This window comes from Homo sapiens, chromosome 5 (assembly GCF_000001405.40).
Source record: "Homo sapiens chromosome 5, GRCh38.p14 Primary Assembly".
NCBI lineage: Eukaryota > Metazoa > Chordata > Mammalia > Primates > Hominidae > Homo > Homo sapiens.
This window is the reverse complement of record NC_000005.10, coordinates 150,319,473-150,341,501: the sequence shown is the minus strand read 5'-3', so window position 1 is coordinate 150,341,501 and position 22,029 is coordinate 150,319,473. Positions and strand designations below refer to the sequence as shown.

The following is a 22,029-nucleotide window of genomic DNA, read 5'->3' as shown; positions in this document are numbered from 1 at the left end:
AGGGAGCAGGAGCAGCCAGCCAACCTCCAGCAGGCAAAGAGCATCAGCACCAAGGCTTAAATGCACATCTTCTTCCTTTACACAGCCCTCACCTCCAGGCACCCATCAAGCAGAGGAGGAGCCAAACTCCATTAACTCCTGACCTAAGCGTGCCTTAGGCTACCCTGAGGGTCCATGGGAACCAAAACTTGTGCCAGCCTGCTCTAATGTGAAGCCAGTGGCTCCCTGGTACCTGGTCCTTTCCTGGGAGACCTGACACTGCAGGCTGTTGGACCCACAGGCAGCCACAAGCTTAGCTCCTTAGGCCGAGATGCAGCAATGTGGCCAAGCCATCAGGTCTAATATGTAGGCTCATGGCTCTGTCCTGTGTTCCTTCTGGCCCCACGTGCCTCACTTGTTCAATGGCACGACTGTTAGCTACACAGGCATTTCTGACAGCATGTGCTTTGTGACATTCACCACTGTGGATGATGGTTAAATGGGGGTGGAGGAGGCATGGATAGGGGAAGTTTCTGTGGTCAGGTTGAAACATTGAGTAAAATTATTTATGCAGCTAACATTTACTGATTGTGACAGATGCTGGGCTAGGCATTTTATAAGCATTGCCTCTTGACGGTTTTTTTTTTTTTTTTTGAGATGGAGTCTTGCTCTGTTGCCCAGGCTGGAGTTCAGTGACGCAATCTCAGCTCATTGCAACCTCTGCCTCCTGGGTTCAAGCAATTCTCCTGCTTCAGCCTCCTGAGTAGCTGGGATTACAGGAGCATGCCACCACACCCAGCCAATTTTTTTATTTTTAGTAAAGATGAGGTTTCACCATATTGGCCAGACTGGTCTTGAGCTCCTGACGTCAAGTGATCCATCCTCCTCGGCCTCCCAAAGTGCTGGGATTACAGGCATGAAGCACTGCGCCCAGCCATCCCTTGACTTCTTACAATAACCTTAGGAAGCAGGAACTATGATTGGCTCCATTTTACAGGTAAGGAAACAGGCTTTGCAAGGTTAATGACTTACTCAAGCGTCCCTCAACTGATAAGTGGCAGAGCCATGATTCAAACCCAGGCAACCTATTTCCAGATCTCTCGTTCTTCACCAGGTTGAATGAACAGGACTTGCTGACTGGTCAGAGTGTGGGGGCTTCGGGAAGGAGATGGAAGCATTCATGTATCTTTCTTTGATTCATCTCAGTGTCAGTGTCTTGGGAGCTGGTAGAGGAAAGTAAGGGAAGAAAAAGGCCGCACCTCTACCCTCCCAGAAAGAACTTCAGGTAAGGAAGTAAGTTCAGCAGAGCATGGAGGCACACTGAGGTTGGTTTTGGGAGACAAGCCTTCCTAGTGTGGTCTCTTCCAAGCCATGACTTAAGGGATCATCAATCACATGAAGATCTGGGGAAATGGAGCATCGGGCAGAGAAAATGGCATGTGCAAAGGCCAGGAGCTAAGGGAGAGAATGTCAAGTCACATACTCAGCTGATTGAGGGGGTGGGGCATGGGAGGTGAGGCCAGATGTCAGAAAAGGCCTTAACTTTTTTTTTTTATTTTGAGACACGGTCTTACTCTGTCGCCCAGGCAGGAATGCAGTGGCAGGATCATGGCTCGCTGCAGCCTCAAACTGCCAGGCTCAGGTGATTCTCCTACCTCAGCCTCCCAAGTAGCTGGAACTACAGGCGCACCCACCACACCCAGCTAACTTTTGTATTTTTGTAGAGATGGGTCTTGTTATGTGGCCCAGGCTGGTCTCAAATTCCTGGGTTCAAGTGATCCACCCCCCTTGGCCTTCCAAAGTGCTGAGATTACGTGCGTGAGCCACTACGCTGGCCCAAGCCCTCAACTTTGAGGCTTCTAGATTGGGGTGGTACAAAGGAGAGACGAGAATGTTGTGAAAGTACCCAGGAACAGTGCAGCTGCTGGCTGAAACTGGGAACATGAGCAGAGGAGTGAGTGAGGGGCTGAGGAGGTGGTGAGAATGAGCTTGGCCCTGATTTTCAAGGGGTCTCTGCTAAGGTCTGTCCCAGTGCTGATCTTCTCAATGTCCCTGGAAGGAAGGCACATCTCACTATGGCCCCTCCACCCCCACATATTCTGGGCAGGAAGGAGCAGGATCTGTTTTGTCAACGCAGCTTGCAATAAAGACTCTCATTCAGAGAGGCAAACAGCTGCTTGACTATTAATAGGCAGGGCGGCAGCCACAGCCTGCTGGGAGGGCCTCCTCATGCAGTTCTGGAAAGGTGAATCGGTTCCTTCTGCCTGTCTGGGTTTTGCAACCCCGTGGTGGGACAATTGGCCAGGTGCATATTCCTCAGAAGGTCAGTTACCCCCAGTCGTTTTCTGGGGCAGCTTGGGAGCTGTGTGGGCTGGCCCTGCTGGGATGCTGACTCTCCCCCAGGCAGAGGGAGAGGGGGCCCAGAGGCCCCAGGCTGACCAGAGCAGTAGGCATCTAGGGTGACTGGGGTTGGGGGTGATGTTTGGGTGGGGTCTCATAGCTGCTCATGTGGAAGATCAGGCACCCACCCTTAAGGGGATCATGAAGAGATCAGGGTTGGGTGGCTGGAAGGGAAGGGTGTCAATCTAGGAGCAAGAGGACTGATGAGAGCAGCTGGGGATAGACAGGGTGGAGGTAGAGCCTGGGATCAGGGAGAACCATGAGGCATCCCTGATCAGGAGCCAGACCAGGCCGAGGGGAGCTTGGAGTCCAGACATGAGAGGGTGAGGCCTAGGGAAGGCCACAGTCTCCTTCTGGCCACCGCCATCATGACGCATGACCTCATTGTGGCCTGGCCAGCCAGATCGCCCATCTGAATGGGCCTGCAGAGAGGGTGGCTGGGAGTGAGCTAACAGCAACCCGACAGGCATCCTGGGCCCCACCGAGGCCAAGTCTTGCTGTGCTAGAGGCCCCGTGGCTGCAGCCCAAGCGGGCGCAGGGCTCACAGGCCCTCGTTGTTATCCGCCACTCAGGTGGCTGCTTCAGGTGGTGGCCACTTCAAAGAAGCCCCATTTAAAGCAGGGCCTTGCCTCAAGTTTCCTAAGGGCCCTGTCCAGGCTAATGAGATCATTAAGAGGCTCCTTGTTAAATGGGTTTAAATAGAGTTTGCCTGTAAGGCCTCTGGCTGAGCCCTGTGCCATGGCTGTATTTTTTTTTTTTAATATATGTGTATTTGTACCTGTGTGTGCACTTAACCACGTGCTGGAAAGTGTAGGCTCTGGACTCAGATGGCAGGGAATCCTGGCCCTAGCACTTTCTGATAGTGTAACCTCTGGCCAGTTACCTAACCCCTCCTTGGTGCCTCAGTTTCCCATCTGTAAAAGCAGACTAATAACTGGTGTTGAATTGTACTGCAGAACCTTCAGTGGCTCCCCATTGCCCTCGGGGAGGTGTCCAAGTTGGACACTTGGAATGGTTAGACTTCTGCGGCTTGCCCTTGGCCCCCTCAACAGGTCCATGTCTCACACCTCTCTCTGTGACCACATGGAGCAGTCCTCTCGGTCCAGCCTTCTGAATGCTGTACATTCATCTTGGAATGCTCCTTCCCTTCACCGTCCTTGGCCTCACCCTTCTTCTTCAGGTGTCAGCTGAAGTGCTTTTCCTGGGAAGCCTCTGTTGATGGGCTGCACTGGTTCCAGTTTGTCCGCCATGACGGTGCCCACCACGCTATGCTGTCATGCCCTGCCATTGTTGGTTTTCTGTGCTTGATGGTAAACTCCATGAGGGCAGGGACTATGCCCCACTCCTCACTTCATCCCTAGGCCCCAGTGCTGCTTGTGACAATTTCAATAAGTCTCTGTGGTTTGCTTCAGTTGATTTGAAGATTAAGGCTCTGAGTCTCCTTCCATTAGCTGTTCCTTGTAGTTGCTCCCTGCTCCTTCCCACCTTCTCACTGGCCTTGACTTAGAGCCTCACTGTAGCGAAGTCTGTACCAGGAATGGGGCACAGGAGGGCCCAGACCTAGATGTCTACGCCCAGCCCACCTGAAAGCACACTACCTTTTCCTTATCAACACCATCCATGATCTCCAACCTCCTGATACTCAGCGTATTGAGAATTCCAATGGAATGCAGAGCATTCCAAGTCTTTGTGATTTTCTTCCAGAGCTCCATAGCAGGTGCCTAGATTGATCCATTTGTATAACCCTGGTGGGCAGGAAGGTAGGGAGGCCTAGGGGGTGATACGTAGCTTTGGTGGGAGGTCTACAGGCTGTCTAGCCAGCAGGAGCTGGGTTATAGTCATTACTGAGGGGGTAAAGCATTTTTCAAGTCAAAGTGTAGGAAAAGGGTAAAAATGGGAGGCAGAGTCAAAAAACAAAGGTTGGGGGCAGGGCAACCAAGAGAGAAGGAAGGTCAGCTTTGAGAAGCACACGGAGGCCAGTAGTTCTGGATCAAGCCTGTGAACAGAGTGAACCCCACATCTAACTTGTTCTACACCTGGGCTAAATACACATCTCTCCATGAAACCAGGAGCTCCTCAAGTGGTGGGACCATATACTCTTCATCTCAGTGTTCCCTTTATTACAGAATGAATCAGAACTCCTTTCAGGAAGTTGGTGCTTAACGGAAGAGTTCTCTCCCCGGGGTGCTTGAAATTGATGATACTATGCTACTACTAATAAAAATAGGTATCATTTGTTGAGCTCTTACCAGGTACCAGGCACTGTGCTAAATACTTTACATTCATCATCTCAAAGACCATCAGATCCCCGAGAGCAGGAACCGAGTCTGCTTTGTCTCACCATTGCATCCCCAGGGCCTAGCACAAGCCTGACACATAGAAGATGTTAATAGATATTTATTGAATAAACAAATAATCGTGCCTGTTATTCCTATTTTACAGATAAAGAGCTGAATCTCAAACAGGCTAAGTAACTAATATTATTCAGCCAGTGGGATAAGGAAGCCAAGATTTGAACTCAGGCCTATCTGACCCCAGAGTCCATGGATTTAGCTGTGCTCTGCTGTCACTGCCATTATTTTGACCTGGGAACCAGCATCATGGCATCACCTGGGCACTTGTTCATGCAGGATCTCAGCTGCATCCGAGTCCTATTGAATCAGAATCCAAATAGTAACAGGATGCTGGGTGACTCAGATATACATTAAAGTGGGAGAAGCTCTCACTCGGGAGTCATCCTGCGCCCACAGTCACTCAGGGGGTCTATGTCCTTGGCTCAATCAAACTACATTGTGCCATTGCGTCCTTTGTCCTTTGCCACGAGACTGCTGAGTGTAATTGTAATGCTGGTGGTGTTGGCCGTGGCCTTTAAAATGATTACCACTTCAGGATCAAAAGCATATTTTCACCTTTTAAATCTTGTTACATGTCCATCAGGTTTCTACCACCCCAAGGAACTCACTCATGAGAACAGAGGCAGGGTTTTCTAGCCATTGGCCTTGCCTCTGAATGGGACCATCTCGGATGAGGTCTCATCCCCACAGGGGCCCTTCTTGATTCCTTGCCTGTCTACATCTAATCATGGAGGTTGTGGATTCTCAGCCTGGTCTCTGTTTGTTATGAAGAGATGATTTAATTCATAAACAATTCCCCAGTGATTTAAGAGGCTCTGCTTGTTTATGTTTTGAAGCTTATGAGTTTAGCCTTCTGAAACAGCATAAAAAATTGCTTCGTCTAGCAGAAGAGACAGAGAAGGTGGCTCATGGCTTATTTCACCCAAGCTTCCCCGTGACCCCTTCTCTCTGATCAAGACCTCTCAGGTCCTGGGGCCATCGATCCCAAAGTGTCTCTAGCCTCTCCTACAAGCTTGTATGGTGCCCTGGTTCAAGAATTCAAGTTAGGGATTTGCTCCAGACTTGCCCGACTTCTGCTTACAGGTTTATCTAAATCAATAGTTCTTAACCTTGATTAAGAACTGTGATGAGTTCTGTGAGATGAACTTGAAGGCCTGTGATCACCTGGCAATTGTATGTAAGATTTGGTGCATTTGGTATGGTAGGAGTGGGGGGAGGCCAATAATTGTCTCAATTTCTCAGTGGGGTCTATGACTTCTAAGAGAACTTTCTTGCCTTTTACTGGTCTCTCCTGCCTCTGAACTTTCAGGACCCACATCTGTTTCTCTCATCGTATTCAAGTTGCTTGGGTTATATCTTTGCTAGGCTGTAAGCTCTGTCCAAGTCAGGATGATAGCCAGTGCCATTCACACCAGAGCTTCTGCCCTTTCAAGTGTGAGGCCCTTATGCAAAGTTGATTAACCTCCTGTCTCCAACATACACAAAAGGAATCGTAATTTTGTATATTATTTACAGATAATGGTTGATGCATAGACTACTTCCCAGACCTCTTAAAAAAATTCTAGTCCCTCTGCTCTGGGAATCTGTAGCTCACAGGTTAAGATGTTGATCATAGATAATAAGAAAGGAAACATCCTTAGATATTAACAAGTCCAACACTCCATTTTGCAGATGAGGATGCTAAAGCCTAGAGGAGAGAAGTGATTTGCCCAAGATCACACAGAGAGTTCCTATCAGAGCTGGGGCTGGAAACCAAGTATTCGGATTCCTCAAATTCCATGCCTGTCCTTCACACTCTTTGTAGCCCCAGCTACACAGATATTCTCAAGTAGAAAAGTTAACTATTGGGTACTGAGCTTAATACCTGGGTGACGAAATAATCTCTACAACAAACTCCCATGACACAAGTTTACCCATGTAACAAACAGCCACATGTAGCCCCAAAACTAAAATAAAAGTTAAAAAAAAGAAGTGTTTGTGGAATCAATGATTGAATACTAGGCAGGGTGAAAAGCTATTAAAAAGCCTGAATATGCCCATAGCTTTGAAGTTTTTGGCTGGGCGCGATGGCTCATGCCTGTAATCCCAGCACTTTGGGAAGCCAAGGCAGGCAGATCACGTGAGGTCAGGAGTTCGAGAACAGCCTGGCCAAAATGGCAAAACCCCATCTCTACTAAAAATATAAAAATTAGCCAGGTTTGGTGGTATGTGCTTGTAATCCCAGCTACTTGGGAGGCTAAGGCACGAGAATTGCTTGAACCCGGAAGGTGAAGATTGCAGTGAGCTGAGATTGTACCACTGCCTGCCAGCCTGGGCAACAGAGCAAGACTCTGTCTCAAAAAAAAAAAAAGTGAGTTTTCTCTAGATAACTAAAATAAGTTAATAGAGCCTTGTTCTCCTCTCTGCCCCCAGCCCCAAGCTCAGGCTAATGCTGCAGTTTGAGCCTGGAGGAAAAGAAAGAGGGGGCTTCTCTCCTTGGAGTTTAAAATCAAGGAGCGTTAACTTGATTGCATTTGACTTCAACTTCAGTTTTCTAATAAGAATGCTTATCATACAGTTCAAGCATACATATATTTATTTGATCATTATTTGTTGAGCAAATTTTATGCATTGACCACCCTGCAGATGTGAGGGTTAGTAAATCACACATGGCCTCTGTCCTCTGGTTGCCTACAGTTTATGGGATAAAGGCTATACACATGGGTCATGGAGCTGATTGTCCCCATTCTCCTGATTCCAAGTTTGACAGGGTCTTCATTGAGCAGTTGACTCTAAGCAGTCAGGGTCATTTCCTTTTCATGGTGGGCACTACTGCATATGTCATTCCCAATGCCACGACTGGAAGGAGCTTGGAGGTCATGCAGTTCAATCCCTTTATTTTGTATGGGGAAACTGAGGTCCAGAGCAGCCAATCAGAGAATCTGGGGCCGAGCCAGGACTATTACTATTACCTGGGTTTTGGAGGTTGGTTCTGAGGGCTGGATCAAGCCATAGGGAGAGAGGAGGACATCGTAGGGGAAGGCAAGAGCAAGAGCAACAGCAAAGGCCTGGAGATGGGACTCTGTGTGGGGTGAAGGGAGCAGGGGAAAGGCAGCCCTGGTTTTTCATATATTGTTCTGGAGTCAGACAAAGAAAGGCTGTCTTCAATGTGAGGCCGATGTCACTATCACAGAGAAGTCATCAGGCCAGCTTCAGAAGCTGAGCCCAGGCCAAGGACTGATGCTGCCCTCAGGCACTAAGGCGCCTGGCAGGAAGGAAAAAGAAATATTGTTATCAAATATACGGACTACTTCTGTGTATGAAAACGTTTCTATATGTTGCCCCTGTCAATGAGAAAATTGTTGCTCATCTCACCCTTTCTCAAAGAATCGTGAAGACCAAATAATAATTATTGTTATAATGATAATAGCAGCAGCCATTTATTTGAGTGAAACCACGTGCTGAAGATAGAGTTGTGAGCCAGCAAGCATTCTTATACCCCTACTCCTTGCAGAGATAGTCAGAGCCAGTATGTGCACCGATTGTACAGAGAGGATGTTGCCCTGCAGAGGAAAAGGGCCTTGCTCAAGGTCACACAGTGGGCCAGCAGCAGGTGGGATTAGAACCTGGGTCCTCCTGCCCACATGTCAAGGCCTGGCCTGATACCACCCTGGCTCTGCAGCCAGCCCCAGAGAGGATGAGTCCAGCCTTGACCCTCCCGGGGTATGCTGAGCTCTTCCAACAGGCTTTTCCTGTAGACCCCCACTCCCGGCTCTGGAGGCCAGCACCCCCAGAGCTGTGTCTGCTCTCTCTGCCCCACAAGCAAAAGCATCACTTGCAGGCCCAGCTGTCACCAGACCTGCACTAAAGAAAGTGTATTTCTGTCCAGCTGAGTCCTGTTGGCAGCTCCAGAACCACTGACATCTCTAACAATCTCCAGGTGATAGGCTTGTGGGGTTTTAGTCTGCCTCTTCTTATCCGGGGAAGACCATGAGAGGGAAGCCCCAGGCCTGAATCTGAGGGACTGCTTTTGCAATAATGCAAAGCTCTTCCTAGCTCAGAAGAGAAGAAACCAAATGGACTCTCTGGACAATATTCGTGTGGCCTGAGAGGTGATAGTTTAGGTTCCTTTACCATGTGGCAGAACAAGGAGTTTTACACTAGGTGAACCTACTGAAGGGACATGCCCCACAGTGAACCTAGGTGATGCCCAGGTACAGCACTGAACAACGTGGAACCACTTACTGAGAAAGAGATGAAAAGTTCAGTTATATTTTCAATCCTTCTCATTATACCATTTCAATTCGATGCTAACGTGTCTTTAATACCTCTCTAAACCTTGCTAATATATATATACACGTATGTATATTAAAACATTTTTTTAAAGAGCAAGCCTTGGACTTGCAGCCTTTGGCAAGCAACAATATCTAGTTAGAATTTAATAGCATTGTTTTTATTGTATTTATTTTTACTTTTAGCTCTTATTTATGGCAGGTGAGACTGGTTTTCCATTTGCAATAGTGATATAAAGTTTCCATTTTAAAGACACTTATTTAAGTTAGAAAGCTTCTATTTAAAGAAAAAATACTAAATGAATAATAATACAGGTGGTATGCAGACGCAGTCTATGTGCTAAAGGTGGTACGGGAACAAGTAAAATCTGGGAAACTCTGACATATGCAATCATGGAATGAAAAAGTCATATACTCTGAGAATCAAAGACCATTGAATTTCAGAAGCTGATGCTTCTAGGATCCCAGAACACAGCATCTTAGCACCATAAATCCTAAAACGAACAATATAATCTATGAGATGCCTTAAAACATAGTCTCTCACAAAATATTAGCATGTGGGAGAGAAAGCCTTGAAGCCATCTGTCAGTTCAATTCCCTCATTTTGATGTGAAGAAACTGAGGCCCCAAGAGATTCAGGACAGAATGAAATAACATATGTGAAAGAGCCTTGTGAAACATAATGTGTTCTTCAAATATTAGGATATTTGTAAAGGTCTCCCAAAGTCACAGGGCTTTCCAGCAGAGATCTGGGACTGAAATCAGCACTCTTGATGCCTTTCCCTGCAGATGGTACTTTCTTGGGGCCCCTCAGCTATGACGAGGCTCTTGAGGCTCAGGCCTGGCCTCTGCTGGAGCTGGGAGCAAATCTGTGGGGGGATGGCCTGCTGGGCCCCCTCCAGAGATGAGAGCAGAGGTAGGGGAGGCCATGTTCAGGGCACCTGGGCAGAGGGAATGGTGCAATGCTGTGTGGAGGGTGTTGGGGACATACTTAGTCTCCTCTATTCTCAGAGCTGTACAGTTCTCACCTGCAAAACCAGTGTGTTGCCAGATGGCCTCCAAGGGAAAATCCATTCTATGACTTGAACTCAGCTTTTGTTCTGAGGCCTCAGTTTCTCCTTTTGTCTAATAGTCAGGCACCTAAGCACTCTTTTCCTGTCCCACAGGGCTGCAAGTGGATTTCTGGGGTCTTATCTGTAAACAGAGTAGGGCCTCATTCCATGGGAGTCTTGGAGAGTCTCAATGGGGACCATGACATTAAGTAAGGCAAGGTCTTGAGAACTGTTGATGTGATGAAGGGAAGAGAAATCCATCACCCGGCTGGGAAAGAACCCCATCTCCCTGCTTCTACAAGCATGGACTTCATTTCTTCATGTACCTGGAATTTATGGGCCTTCCTTGGCCTTGGGGGCAGCTGCCCTGGAAATTAGGGCTTCAGGGTATGGTTCTAAGTTGGGCCATGTGGTTAGGTCAGAGATGCTGTTCTGACTTCGTATTTCTGGGTATCCAGCTTTTAGAAATGCCCACCTAGCCACAGGCACAAAGTGTGGTCCCATCGGGGTCCAGGCCTTCATCGCACCACAAGGAGGGGGTGGGGTCGTGGGGCTGCAGCCGGGCAACAGTTTCCTCCAACCTCACAGCCAAGGGGCCCTTCCTCCTGACGATCAGATTGAAGGGAATTCCTTCAATGAAGTCTCCAGGATGTACAAGACCACAGAATTGCCCCTTTCTTGTGGATAGCACTTCTTGTCTGCCAGGCCCAAATTTTCACAGCCACCTCAGAAGTGTGTTCTCTCTCCCTGTCCCCCAAGAACTGTTTCATGTGGCTGCTGGGAGGGGAAATACCAGGGGTAGTTGCTTCTCTAGAGCTGCCTGGCTGGGACTGCAGCAGCCCCCTCTTCCTGAGGTCACCCGCAGCCCACCTTCTGGGTGCCAGGGGCCCTGGGTGTTCAGTGATGTGGATTCCTGTGCAAGTTCCAGGTGGCCCCGCAGCCGTCCCTATCAACACAACTGACCCTTCCCTGCCACCATTCTCCAGACGGGCGCCTGGGGAGGAGGGAAAAAAAGGACCACTTCTCTTCGCCGGCCCTCAACAGCGTCTAAGCCATTCTCTCCACATTAATCATGGAAAAGACAGCGTGCCCCAGCCTGGGAGGGAGAAAGTGCCTTTTTCATCTGTCTGGCTACATGTGTCTCAACACAAAGCTCAGTCCTGGCTAGGTTCTCACTCCTGACTGCTGTCCCACCGTCTCTAACCCATCTCACCTTCTTCCACCCACACCTTCAAAGTGTAACAAGATTAAGTCAATTTCATTTTTCTGAGAAGCTGATCGATAGCCTGTCTTGTCCACTGTGCCCAGCGGAGGCCAGCTCATGGCTCCTTGGCAGCCGTCTGTGGGCTCTCTGCCCTCCCTGGTCGTCACCCTGGGCTGGGCCTGTTAAGTATTTCCTCATTAAAGCTCTGGCAGCTCAGTTCAGGTCTGCAAGCCAACACCAATGGTTACAACTGCCCCAGAATGTTCGGACAGATTTATGCAGTTACGAGTTTATGAAGTTGAAAGGTTTTATAGATGGGGGACCATGTTGGTGTTAAGGGAGACCATTCCTCCAGAGGCCTGAATCTGCTGTCTTAAGATCTCAGCAGCAGGAAGAGGAGAGGAGAGGGCCAGAAGGAAAACCGGGGGGCCAATCAAGGAGCAAGAATAATAGAGCCAGGTCCCTCCAGCTGAGCGGATCTGCTGAGTTAGAGACAGGAGTGTGGGAGGGGGCACCAAGACATAGTTTTGGCTCCAAATGAGGAAATATAAACTCCGCAAAGACAGAGCACCAAGTCCTGATCACCTTTTACAATCAATGGAACACCCATTTGATCTTTGTTGTCTTCTGTTCTCAGATCTGAAAACCTCAGAGCATGATCAGGGATTCTGGGGTAGGCTTCAAAGGGGGTGGGGACCTCACTGGATGCACAATGTTATGTCTGTGCTTTCCTGAGCAGAGGATCCCTAAATTTCATTATATTTTAAAAGACATCTGTGACCAGAATGATTGAATTCTCCTTACCCTCTAATTGTATTGCTAGGCACATTGAGGCCCATTCAATCATTCATTCATCAAATATTTATTGACTGTCTAAGCACTGAGAACAAAGTGGGGAACCAGACAGTAGGTCATGGGCATGGTGTTCAGTGTCATGGGACTGGAAAGATGGGGGATGTGCAAAGATAATGAACATGAGAACATAGAAACAGGAAATGTTAGATAACAACGTGTGCTGTGAAGACGCTGACATGGGCTCATGGGATAAAGAGCTGTGTAGCTAGGGAAACCTCTCTGAGAGTGACATTTTGGCTCCAAATCCAAAGAGGCAGTCAGGGGAAGGTCTGGGGAAGAGAGTTCCAGGCAGAGAGAACAGCCAGTGCAAAGGCCCTGTTGGGGGAATGAGCTTGACACAAAAGCAGGGAGGTCAGTGTGGCAGGCGGGGCGTGAGCAAGAATCAGGAATGGGAGCAGACAAGGCTGGCAGAATGGATTGTGGAGGACCATGGTAAGGAGTTTGGGGTTTATTCCGGAGGCAATTGGAACCATGGAGAGTTTGAAGCAGAGAGGACAGGGGCCTCAAGAGGGGCAGATATTGCTCACTGAGTATTTCCAAATTAGAGTTCCTCTTCCCACTATACCACCCTGCCCTGCTCCAGATCATCCTGCTTCACTCCCTCTCTGCTGTTTGTGGAAAAGGAGGAAACTCAAGAAAAGGTCTTGGTGGCTGGAATTGCTTCATTGGCTGTTGCAGTCATTGAGCTGTAGACCACACTGTGTTAAAGGGCCCCACTGTAACATCAGGCTCAGAGAGGGAAAGGGACTTGCTCAAGGCCACACAGCGCATGTCTGGCAGAGCAGGGACTAGGCTCAGTTTCTCTGCCAGGGCCATGGTCTTTCTGCTGGCCCACATGCTCTGGTTGATCACAACACACTCTCGTCCTGGTCATCAGCCATTGATTAGAGCCAGGCTGGGGCCCCGAAGTGGAGTGGGCAGGGGTCCAGAGCCAGAGAGATGATAGGCAGAGAGGAGCCAATTGGTCCTGGAAGGGAAGCTGGGGGAATGGCCAGGAAACCCCATAATTCTTTCCTGTCCTACAGGTGAAACTACTAAAACACAGCAAAACACCCACTTCATTTCTATTGTAAAGAAATTCATACTTATATTAAAAAGTAGCTATACAGAAAAGTAGAAAAATTCACCCATGGTCTCACCCTCCAAACAGCCATTGATGAATAATTTGGTATATTGTATATTATACCTGTCTCAATAGGGACATTGTAGATTTTTAGTGAATAGATAATTTTAGGTTTTGCTTCCTCTGTTTAACTTAACTCCACCATCTAATGGAAAGCAGCGGTGAACAATGGCAAGAGCTGGACTCTCAAGCCCAGAAGCAGGGTTGCTGTCATGGGTGTGTGACCTGAGCTGCTGCACAGGCCTGCACTTAGAAGGGCCCCATGCTTGGTTGAACAGTCTGCTGTCCCCGTTTTAAAATTCTCAATAATTTATGAGTAAGGAGCTCCACATTTTCATTTTGTACTGACCTTGCAAATTATGTAGCCAGTCTCACAGAGTGGCCTGGGTGAGAACCCCAGCTCTGCCCCTGATTGCTGCATGACCTTGACCGTGACTTTAACCTTACCGTGCCTCAGTTTCCTTAGATGTCCAATGGGAATAACTGGAGTACACTCATTGCAGGATTGTGAGAAGTAGATGCGATCAGCGTCTGAGGGAGCCCTTAGACACTCAGGTGTCCTTAGAACAGGTTCTGCTGCCTCTTCCTTCCCTCTCCCTGGAGTTCCCCTTGGCTGTGGAGGTGAGGTGGTACCTGCTTTCCACAGCCCAGGGATGCACTCCACCTCTGAGAAGCCTTCCCCAGGGCTTGCATCTGCAGCGACTGCCCCTGAACCATACTCTGCACTTTGGCAGAGTCTTATGAAGGCCCCAGTTTCTACTTCAGGGTGAGATAACATGTGTCCATCTCTTTCTTCCTCCTCAACTGAAGAACTGAGATTTCCCTAACCAGGCACATTCCAAAAGATTAAGAACTGGGAGACTGAGGTAGGATTGCCAACTATTTTCTTTTGCTGAAGACACTTTTAAATAACTTTTGTTTACCGTAGTCACAAATTCCTTAAAGAAAGGGCTTTGGACATCAAACAAAGCAGGAAGGGCATAACCCCCGTAAAAGATGATTCTTTCAAAAGAGGGAATGGAGCTTTGGGAAAATCTCCCTTTTCTTACTGCCCCTTTGCCACAGAGCTAAGAACACGCCCCCTGGACCAGAATTTGGGGCTGTTCCTCATCACATTCAGCCTAAGCAGACCCCTGGCATGGCTCTGGATGATTTTTTTCCTCCAGACCCCAGCAGCTGTGATATTCAAGGGGTTATTTTTTTCACCTTGAAAGAGCAACAGGGTCCATGGATTCCAAAAACTGTTATTAATCCTTAAAAACTTCCAGATTCCAACCAAAACGTGGCTATGCTTTTCAATGTTTGTAGTGCCTCCCTCTCCCTCTCAGCTTTCAAGAAGCGAGGACTTCAAAGGCCATTTCCTTGCTGAAATAAACAATGGGGCTAGAGGGAGGGGAGAGAAACATAGGCTTGTTGAGTGGAAAAGAAAATTGTATTTTTCTTCTGCAAGGGATCCAGACCCATCACTGTGCAAATGGCCTCTAGACTGGAGGACAAATGTTCAGAAGGTTGAGGACAGGGGCTTGGGGTGTCTGTGGGATGTGACAACCCATCCCTTTGTCCCTGTGTGTCCCAATGCTTGGGTTGAAGGTAGCCTGGACAAAGTGCTATATTAGTGACTGCCTGAGAAATGCTTCAAAGGGAAGAGCTTGACTGCAGAGCCTGCTGGGTTCACTTGCAGCTCCAGCACTTAGTAGCTGTGTGGATGAGTTTTCATGCCTCAATTTCCTCATCTGTAAAGTGGGGAGGATAGTTTTTGTGTGGATCGAGCCAGTGAGCACACATGCAATTGCTTAGAACAGTGCCTGGCCCAGAGTAAGCCCCAGGTGAATGTCAGCTCCTGCGATTATTAATATTTATGAGAATATCCAGAGGACAGGATCCCTATCTAATTCCCTTCTCCTGGGTCTTGCTCAAGCTTGGAAAGTTCTATGATTTGAGTCCCCTCTCAACCTATCCCACCCCCTCATTAGAGGAAACAACTGGAGTCTCTGGAAAAGGAGCAGGCCCTGGGCAAGCCCCGCACAGTGTCGTGGAGTAGATGGGCTCTGAGGCCACTGCTCTTCCAGAGAGGCATGGAGTGGAGGGGATGCACAGAAGCACAGAACCCCCTGGGTTGGAGCCCCTGTTCAACTACTTACTATGGTGAATGTCACAGGCTTTCATCTGTAAAATGGGACTAATGAGAGTCCTCATGAGGATGCATGAGATGACACATGTGGCGCAGGGAACACTTTATTATTAAGTGGAGCCCACCCGAAATTGGCTACCTTGGATGTCCTGCAATGTCACCTGGGGCTCACATGGGAAAGAAATGCGAGGCTGCACCTGAGCTCCAGGGAAAGGGAAAAGGTGAGTGAGGCAGGAAAAAAGTGGAAGGATTCAGTGAGATGATGTCCTACAGGCAAGGCTGCAGAGAAAGGAACCCAGTCTGGAAGCTGGTGCCCAGCAGAGACCAGGGACAGTCTCCAGAGACCGACCCCACCATGCATCAAGAGGGAGGGGAGAGGGCTGCTCCCAGGAGGGTCCAGGCAGCCGGAAGTCCACGGCAAGGGAGAGGCAGCTCAGAGGGAAAGGATCTGGCCACCTTGGTGTGCAGAGGGTGGAGGGAGGGCCCTGCCTTAGCTGGGGCAGGGAGGCCCTAGGGTGGGTAGCTAAGGAGAAAGCATTCCCACAGGAAATGATAGCAAAGGCCACAGCTGGGAGGCTGAGCCCTGTCCCTGCACTGCCATGGTCCACACCAGGAGCCAGTCCCACCAGCCCCACCAGCCTCCTCCCCAAACCCTAAGTGACCACCCAGGGCCCACATCACCTGCACTGAGAGGCCCTCCTCCGACCCCTCCCTGCCCCCTGTCCTCTGTCTCCTAGTTACCTACATCCCTGTTCTCCTCCTCCCCTCACTGACCATAGTCCTGGTTACTATGTACGTTAATAAGATCAGAAAGAAGGTGGGGGTATCAGGTTCACCTTCCGATCACCTGGGCTTAACACCATACCTGGGCAGAGCTGGCCAACCGTGCGTATTGGTTGAACAGATAAATACAAGCTAGAAAGACATAGCCTAGCAACAGCAAGGGTGAGAAAGAAAAGGCATTTTATGTTATCTTAGGCTAACTTCATACAGATAGGTAAAACCCTCCTTCCTTTCTCCCTCCCTCCCCACTCCCTCTTTCCTTCTTCCCTCCTTCCCTCTCTTCCTTCCAAAATACATCAAGTAGCTACTAGGTGCCCAGCTCTATGTTAGGCACTGGGGTGCCATGTTGAACAAGTTAGAGAAGATCCCTGCCATTATGGGGCTTATATTCTATTGGTGGGGGGTGGGTGGGGCTGGCAAAAAGACAAAGTACTGATAAATGTGCAGTATGAGATCAGGTAATGATCAGTGTTTAGGGAAAAAGAGTATCAGGGCTGTGTATATGCATGTGACTTTAGGTTGGGTGGAAAGAAGAGGCTCTGCTGAGTAGTGAAAACCTGAATGAAGAAATGCACCGTGTGAACACAGCGGGGAACGGTGGTCCTGGTGGAGGGCATAGCAGATGTTAAGGCCAGGTGATGAGGATGACCATGGCATGTTCCAAAGGTGTTGGCTGTTGGACTCCAAAAAAGCCAAACTGGAAGGGCTTTCATCCAGGCCAGTCTCTTTTGTGATGGCAGGGGAAAAAGCCCTAAAGAAGGGAAGGAATTGGCTGGGCTCTGTGGCTCATGCCTGTAATCCCAGCACTTTGAGAGGCCGAGGCGGGGGGAATCACCTGAGGTCAGGAGTTTGAGACCAGCCTGACCAACATGGAGAAACCCCATCTCTACTACAAATACAAAATTAGCTGGGCGTGGTGGTGCATGCCTGTAATCCCAACTACTTAGGAGGCTGAGGCAGGAGAATTGCTTGAACCTGGGAGGCGGAGACTGTGGTGAGCCGAGATCATGCCATTCATTGCACTCCAGCCTGCGCAATAAGAGCAAAATTTCGTCTCAAAAAAAAAAAAAAAAAAAAAAAAAAGGAATTGCCCAAGCATGTCAGTGGCAGAGCAGGAGACAGGACCAGGCATCCTGGCGTTTGTCTGAACTCCTGCCACCGTGCCTATCCTCAGGTCAGGACCCAAAAGTGTCCTAAAGGACCACCCCAAGCTAAAATCACACAAAAAGAAAGGTGGCAGGGCCTCTCAGATCACCTAAAGCCCTCAGGGTACAGACTGCCGACCAGAAGACTAAGGACCAGAGAGACGGGCCCGTCCCCAAGCCACACAACAAACCACTGGGGTTTCCAAACGAGCAGGGCCCATCCTTTCTGAAGCCTGGCAAGGAACTGAGTGTGGCTGAAGCAAAGGCTGCTAGAGGGCTGCCTGAGTGAAGGCCTGGGGGCTAAGTAGAGAGGCAGTGGTCTCCATGTCCCGCTTTTCTGTATGTCAAATGTGGTATTTCTCTATGGCGATGATGCTTGCTTCAATATAAAATCAAACTAATGAGGGCTGAGGGAACAGCATCAGAAGTGCCTAATTAATAAGGTTGTGTAGAAAAAGTACCCTTGCAGGAACTCTCTGTCAAACTCACGGGTGAAGCGTAAGAGTACAATTAGGGCCTAGGAGAAGTTCTTCTCATCTGTGCATGGTGTTTGGGCTGCAAAGCAATTTTCCTACCTTTACGCTCCCTACCTTATTTGGGTTTCACAAGAACCTATCTGGTGAGCATGGGGGACACTTTTCCTCATCTTACCATGAAGAAGAATGAGCTGAAGGCAGGGTCCAGGTGTCCTGGTTCCCGGGCCAGAGCTCCCCAACTCACCCCTTCTCTCCTAGTTTCTATGACCCCTTCTCTCCTACTTTCTATGAAATGGGGGAAGCCCAAAGGTCCCAGTCTCCTAACTCCTGGTGTTACGGATTGAATTGTGTTTCCCCAAAAGGTACGTTGAATGCCTAACTCCAGTTCTTGTGAATGTGAGATTACAGTCGTGAATTGCGTAATGACGCTTTGGTCAACAACAGATTGCATATGCAACAGTGGTCCTATAAGATTACAATGAAGCTGAAAGATTCCTGTTGTCTGGTGATGTCATAGTACAATGCATTATTTACGTGTTTGTGGTGATGCTGGTATAAACAAACCTATTATGCTGCCAGTTGTACAAGAGTATAACACATACAATCATGGGCAGTTCATAATACTCTTGATAATGACAATAAACAGCTGGTATATTTCTGGTTTATGTATTTACTATATATTATTATTATTTTATTTTTAGTTATTTATTATTATCTTTATTAGTGTTATCAACATCATTATTTTAGAGTGTACTCCTTCTACTTGTACATAAAAAAAATGTTAGGCTGGTGCAGTGGCTCATGCCTATAATCCCAGCACTTTGGGAGGCTGAGGCAGGTGGATCACTTGAGTCTAGGAGTTTGAGACCAACCCAGGAAACATGGCCAAAAGCCATCTCTACAAAAAATACAAAAGTTAGCTGAACATGGTGGCACATGGCTGTAGTCCCAGCTACTCAGGAGGCTGAGGTGGGAGGATTGCTTGAGCCCAGGAGTTCAAGACCAGCCTGGGCAACACAGTGAGATCCTATCTCTAAAAATAATAACAATAAATAAAAAAATAAAAAGTAGCCAGGTGTGGCAGCACATATCTGTAGTCCTAGCTATCCTGGAGGCTGAGGTGGAAGGATTAATTGAGTCCTTCCACTCAGGTGTTCAAAGCTGCAGTGAGCTATGATTGAGCCACTGCATTCCAGCCTGGGTAACAGAGTGAGACCCAGTCTCAAAAAAAAGTTAGTGTAGCCTAAGTGTCCAGTGTTTATAAAGTCTACAGTAGTGTACAGCAATGCCCTAGGCCTTCACACTCACTCACCATTGACTCACTGACTCACCAGAGTAATTTCCAGTCCTGCAGGTTCCATTCACAGGAAATGCCCTACACAAGTGTAAAGTTTTTTTATCTTTTTCATCTATTTTTGTCTTTTTTTAGAGATAGGGTGTTGCCATGTTGCTATGTTGCCCAGGCTGATCTTGAACTCTTAGAGTAAAGGCTGAGTCCCAACCTCAACCTCCTGTAGCTGGAATTACAGGTGTGTGCCACTGTACCCAGATTTTTTTTTCTTTTTTAATTATCTTTTACATGGTGTTTTACTGTGCCTTTTCTGTTTGGATATGTTTAGTTACTCAATTACTTACCGTTATGTTCCAATTGCTTACAGTATTCAGTACAGGAACATGCTGGACAGGTTTGTAGCCTAGGAGCAATGGGCCCTCTCATATAGCCTATGTGTGTAATGGGCTATCCCATTTAGGTTTGTGTAAGTGCACTCTGTGATGTTCACACATGATGAAATTGCCTAACAACATATTTCTCAGAACATACCCCAGCAGTTAACTCACACATAACAATATTTGGAAATAGAGGCTTACAGATTAACTCAAATTAAGATGAGTTGTACTGGATTTGTGGGGAAGTCTAATCCAATGTGATTGGTGTCCTTATAAGAAGTGAGGAGACACACACATGGAATTCCATGTGAAAACACAGACACACAGGGACAATGCCACGTGAAAACAGAGGCAGAGATTGGAGCGATGTGTCTACAAGCCAAGGATTGATGGCCACAACCAGGAAGGAAGAAATTACAGATATCAACAGACATGGTTCCTGCCATGGAAGAGGCAAGAACAAATTCTGCCTAGAGTTTCAGAGGAGCATGGACCTACTGACATCTTGATTTTGGACTTCTAGCCTCTAGGACTGAGAGAATACATTTCTGTTGTTTAAGCCACCCACTTTGTGGTTCTTTGTTATGGCAGCCACAGGCAGCAAATCTACCTGTATTCGGTCTTTCCACCTGAAAGTGAGGGAGAGGGCCCCAGGCTTTTGATGCACTGACTTGATAAGACCAGCTCCTCCCAAGAGGCAAGGCCAACACTCAGAGCCTTCTTGTCCCTGCATGAACCTCAGTGATGCCCAAGGTAGCTCTCCCTACCCTGGACTATTCTGTTCAATGTAACCCCCATTCCTTGGTCCTCCTGTATGCCAGGCCACTGTGGAGGGAGGTGGGGATATCCAGATAATGAAGATGTGACTCTGCCCAAGGAGCTTACAACCTAGGGAGTTTGAAAGCACCAGGCAATTTGCCATAAGAGTGGGCAGAGAGTGCTTCCATTTGGGGGACCTCAGAAGGCTTCATGGAAATGGTGAAATGTGAGCTAGTCCTCAAAAGGTAGGCAGGATTTCAACAGGCAGGGTTGCTAATGATAGCTTAATGCTGATAAATATCTTACTATGTGTGAGACATTGTTCTACATGGTTTCCATATGTTAACACACTAAATCCTCACAACAGCTCTGTGAATAACAGAGTCACGACTATCCCATTTTACAGATTAGGAAACCAAGGCCCAGGGAGGTTAACTGAGGAGCCCAGATCACACAGCTGGCAAGTAGCAGAGTCCACGTCGAAACGCAGGCAGCCTATCTCTTTACCATGTCTCCAACTGGGGCAGAGATGGAGGTATATATCATTCCTGGCAGAGAGAAAAATGTAAGCAACGCTCTGACATGGGGAGAGTCAAGGGCACTTTGGGGAAATGGGTAGTTTTCCAAGGTAGTGGACTTGGGGAAGGAGGCAACAGTAAAGGTAAGAGCATTCCACAAGGAACATTAAGGCTTTGCTCCAGTCTTGGCTTGGTCAATGTCTGGCACAACACAGCAATTAAGACTGTGGGCTTTAAAGAGAGGGGCTGCATCTTTAATGTGATTTTAGATGATATGCTGTATGAGTCAGAATAGCTTAGGTTACGCTGCAGTAAATAAACAACCTGAAAGACTTAATGAATTATAACACCAAGCTTATTTCTTGCTTGTGTTACATAATCACTGTGGCTTAGCTGGGGGCTGTCTCTCCTCTTCACTGACCTCACTCTGGGAACCAGGCTCTGGACAAGAGAGGGCTGGCTGGCCTCACACCAGGAATTAAAATGTTCTAGCCCAGAAGTAATGTGCCATTTAGAAAGGGCCAGAACTGGTCACATGGCCCCACCCAATCACAAAGGAATCAGGAGGTGTCAACCCTCCATGTGCCTGGGAGGCAGAAAGCCAGAAATGTTTGCTGAACAGCACTAATGATGACTACATAGCTAAACCATATTAAATAACAGTGAAGCACGCAGTGAAAAACTGATTCCCTTTTCAATCTCATTTTAGCTTGCAGATTATTTCAAGAGAAATCCTGACTCAGTTCAGTGCTTGTGTATCATCAATACCTTTCTAACATTTGTTAATCTCTCTTGTTCATCAGTTGAATAAAGGTTTCAGATTTAGCTCTTTGAACAGCAACAGTATCCAGCTGGAATTTACTAACATTATTTCCTTTTTTTTTTTTGCTTTTATTTTTACTTTTGCCTAATATGTGTTTCCATTAATAGTAGTATTATAATAAGTTCCCTTTGAGAAAAAATTAATATAAGGAAATCAAACACAATGAAAACCAGAGCGAGCTCTAGAGTCAGAAGGCCGGGGTTCAAATCTTGAGTCCTCTACTTAGTAGTTGCTTGATCTTGGGCTTGTCATTAAACCTCTGAAGCCTCAATTTCTCCATCTGTAAAATGGCAGTAACACGAGTACCCACACCAAAGGTTTGTTAGATGTTACTCAAGCTCTGACCACACCGCCTGACCCATAGTAAGTTCTTGATGTTAGCAATTGTTATTATCTAGCTGGGTGGCCCCGTCCGTCTCTGGCTTCAGAGGATGATCTGTGGCAGGCTGTCTTCCCTGCTTAGGATAGTCAAGGTAGATACAGGTCCT

General features: G+C 47.8%; 1 long non-coding RNA gene across 1 annotated transcript; it reads left to right on the top strand.

The window, feature by feature from the left end:
• Positions 1-846: 846 nt before the first annotated feature.
• LOC105378225 (uncharacterized) lies at positions 847-6,620 on the top strand. The gene is made up of 3 exons (XR_944406.2): positions 847-976; positions 1,094-1,264; positions 6,405-6,620. It is a non-coding gene; the product is annotated as an uncharacterized LOC105378225 (long non-coding RNA).
• The last annotated feature ends 15,409 nt before the right edge of the window (positions 6,621-22,029 follow it).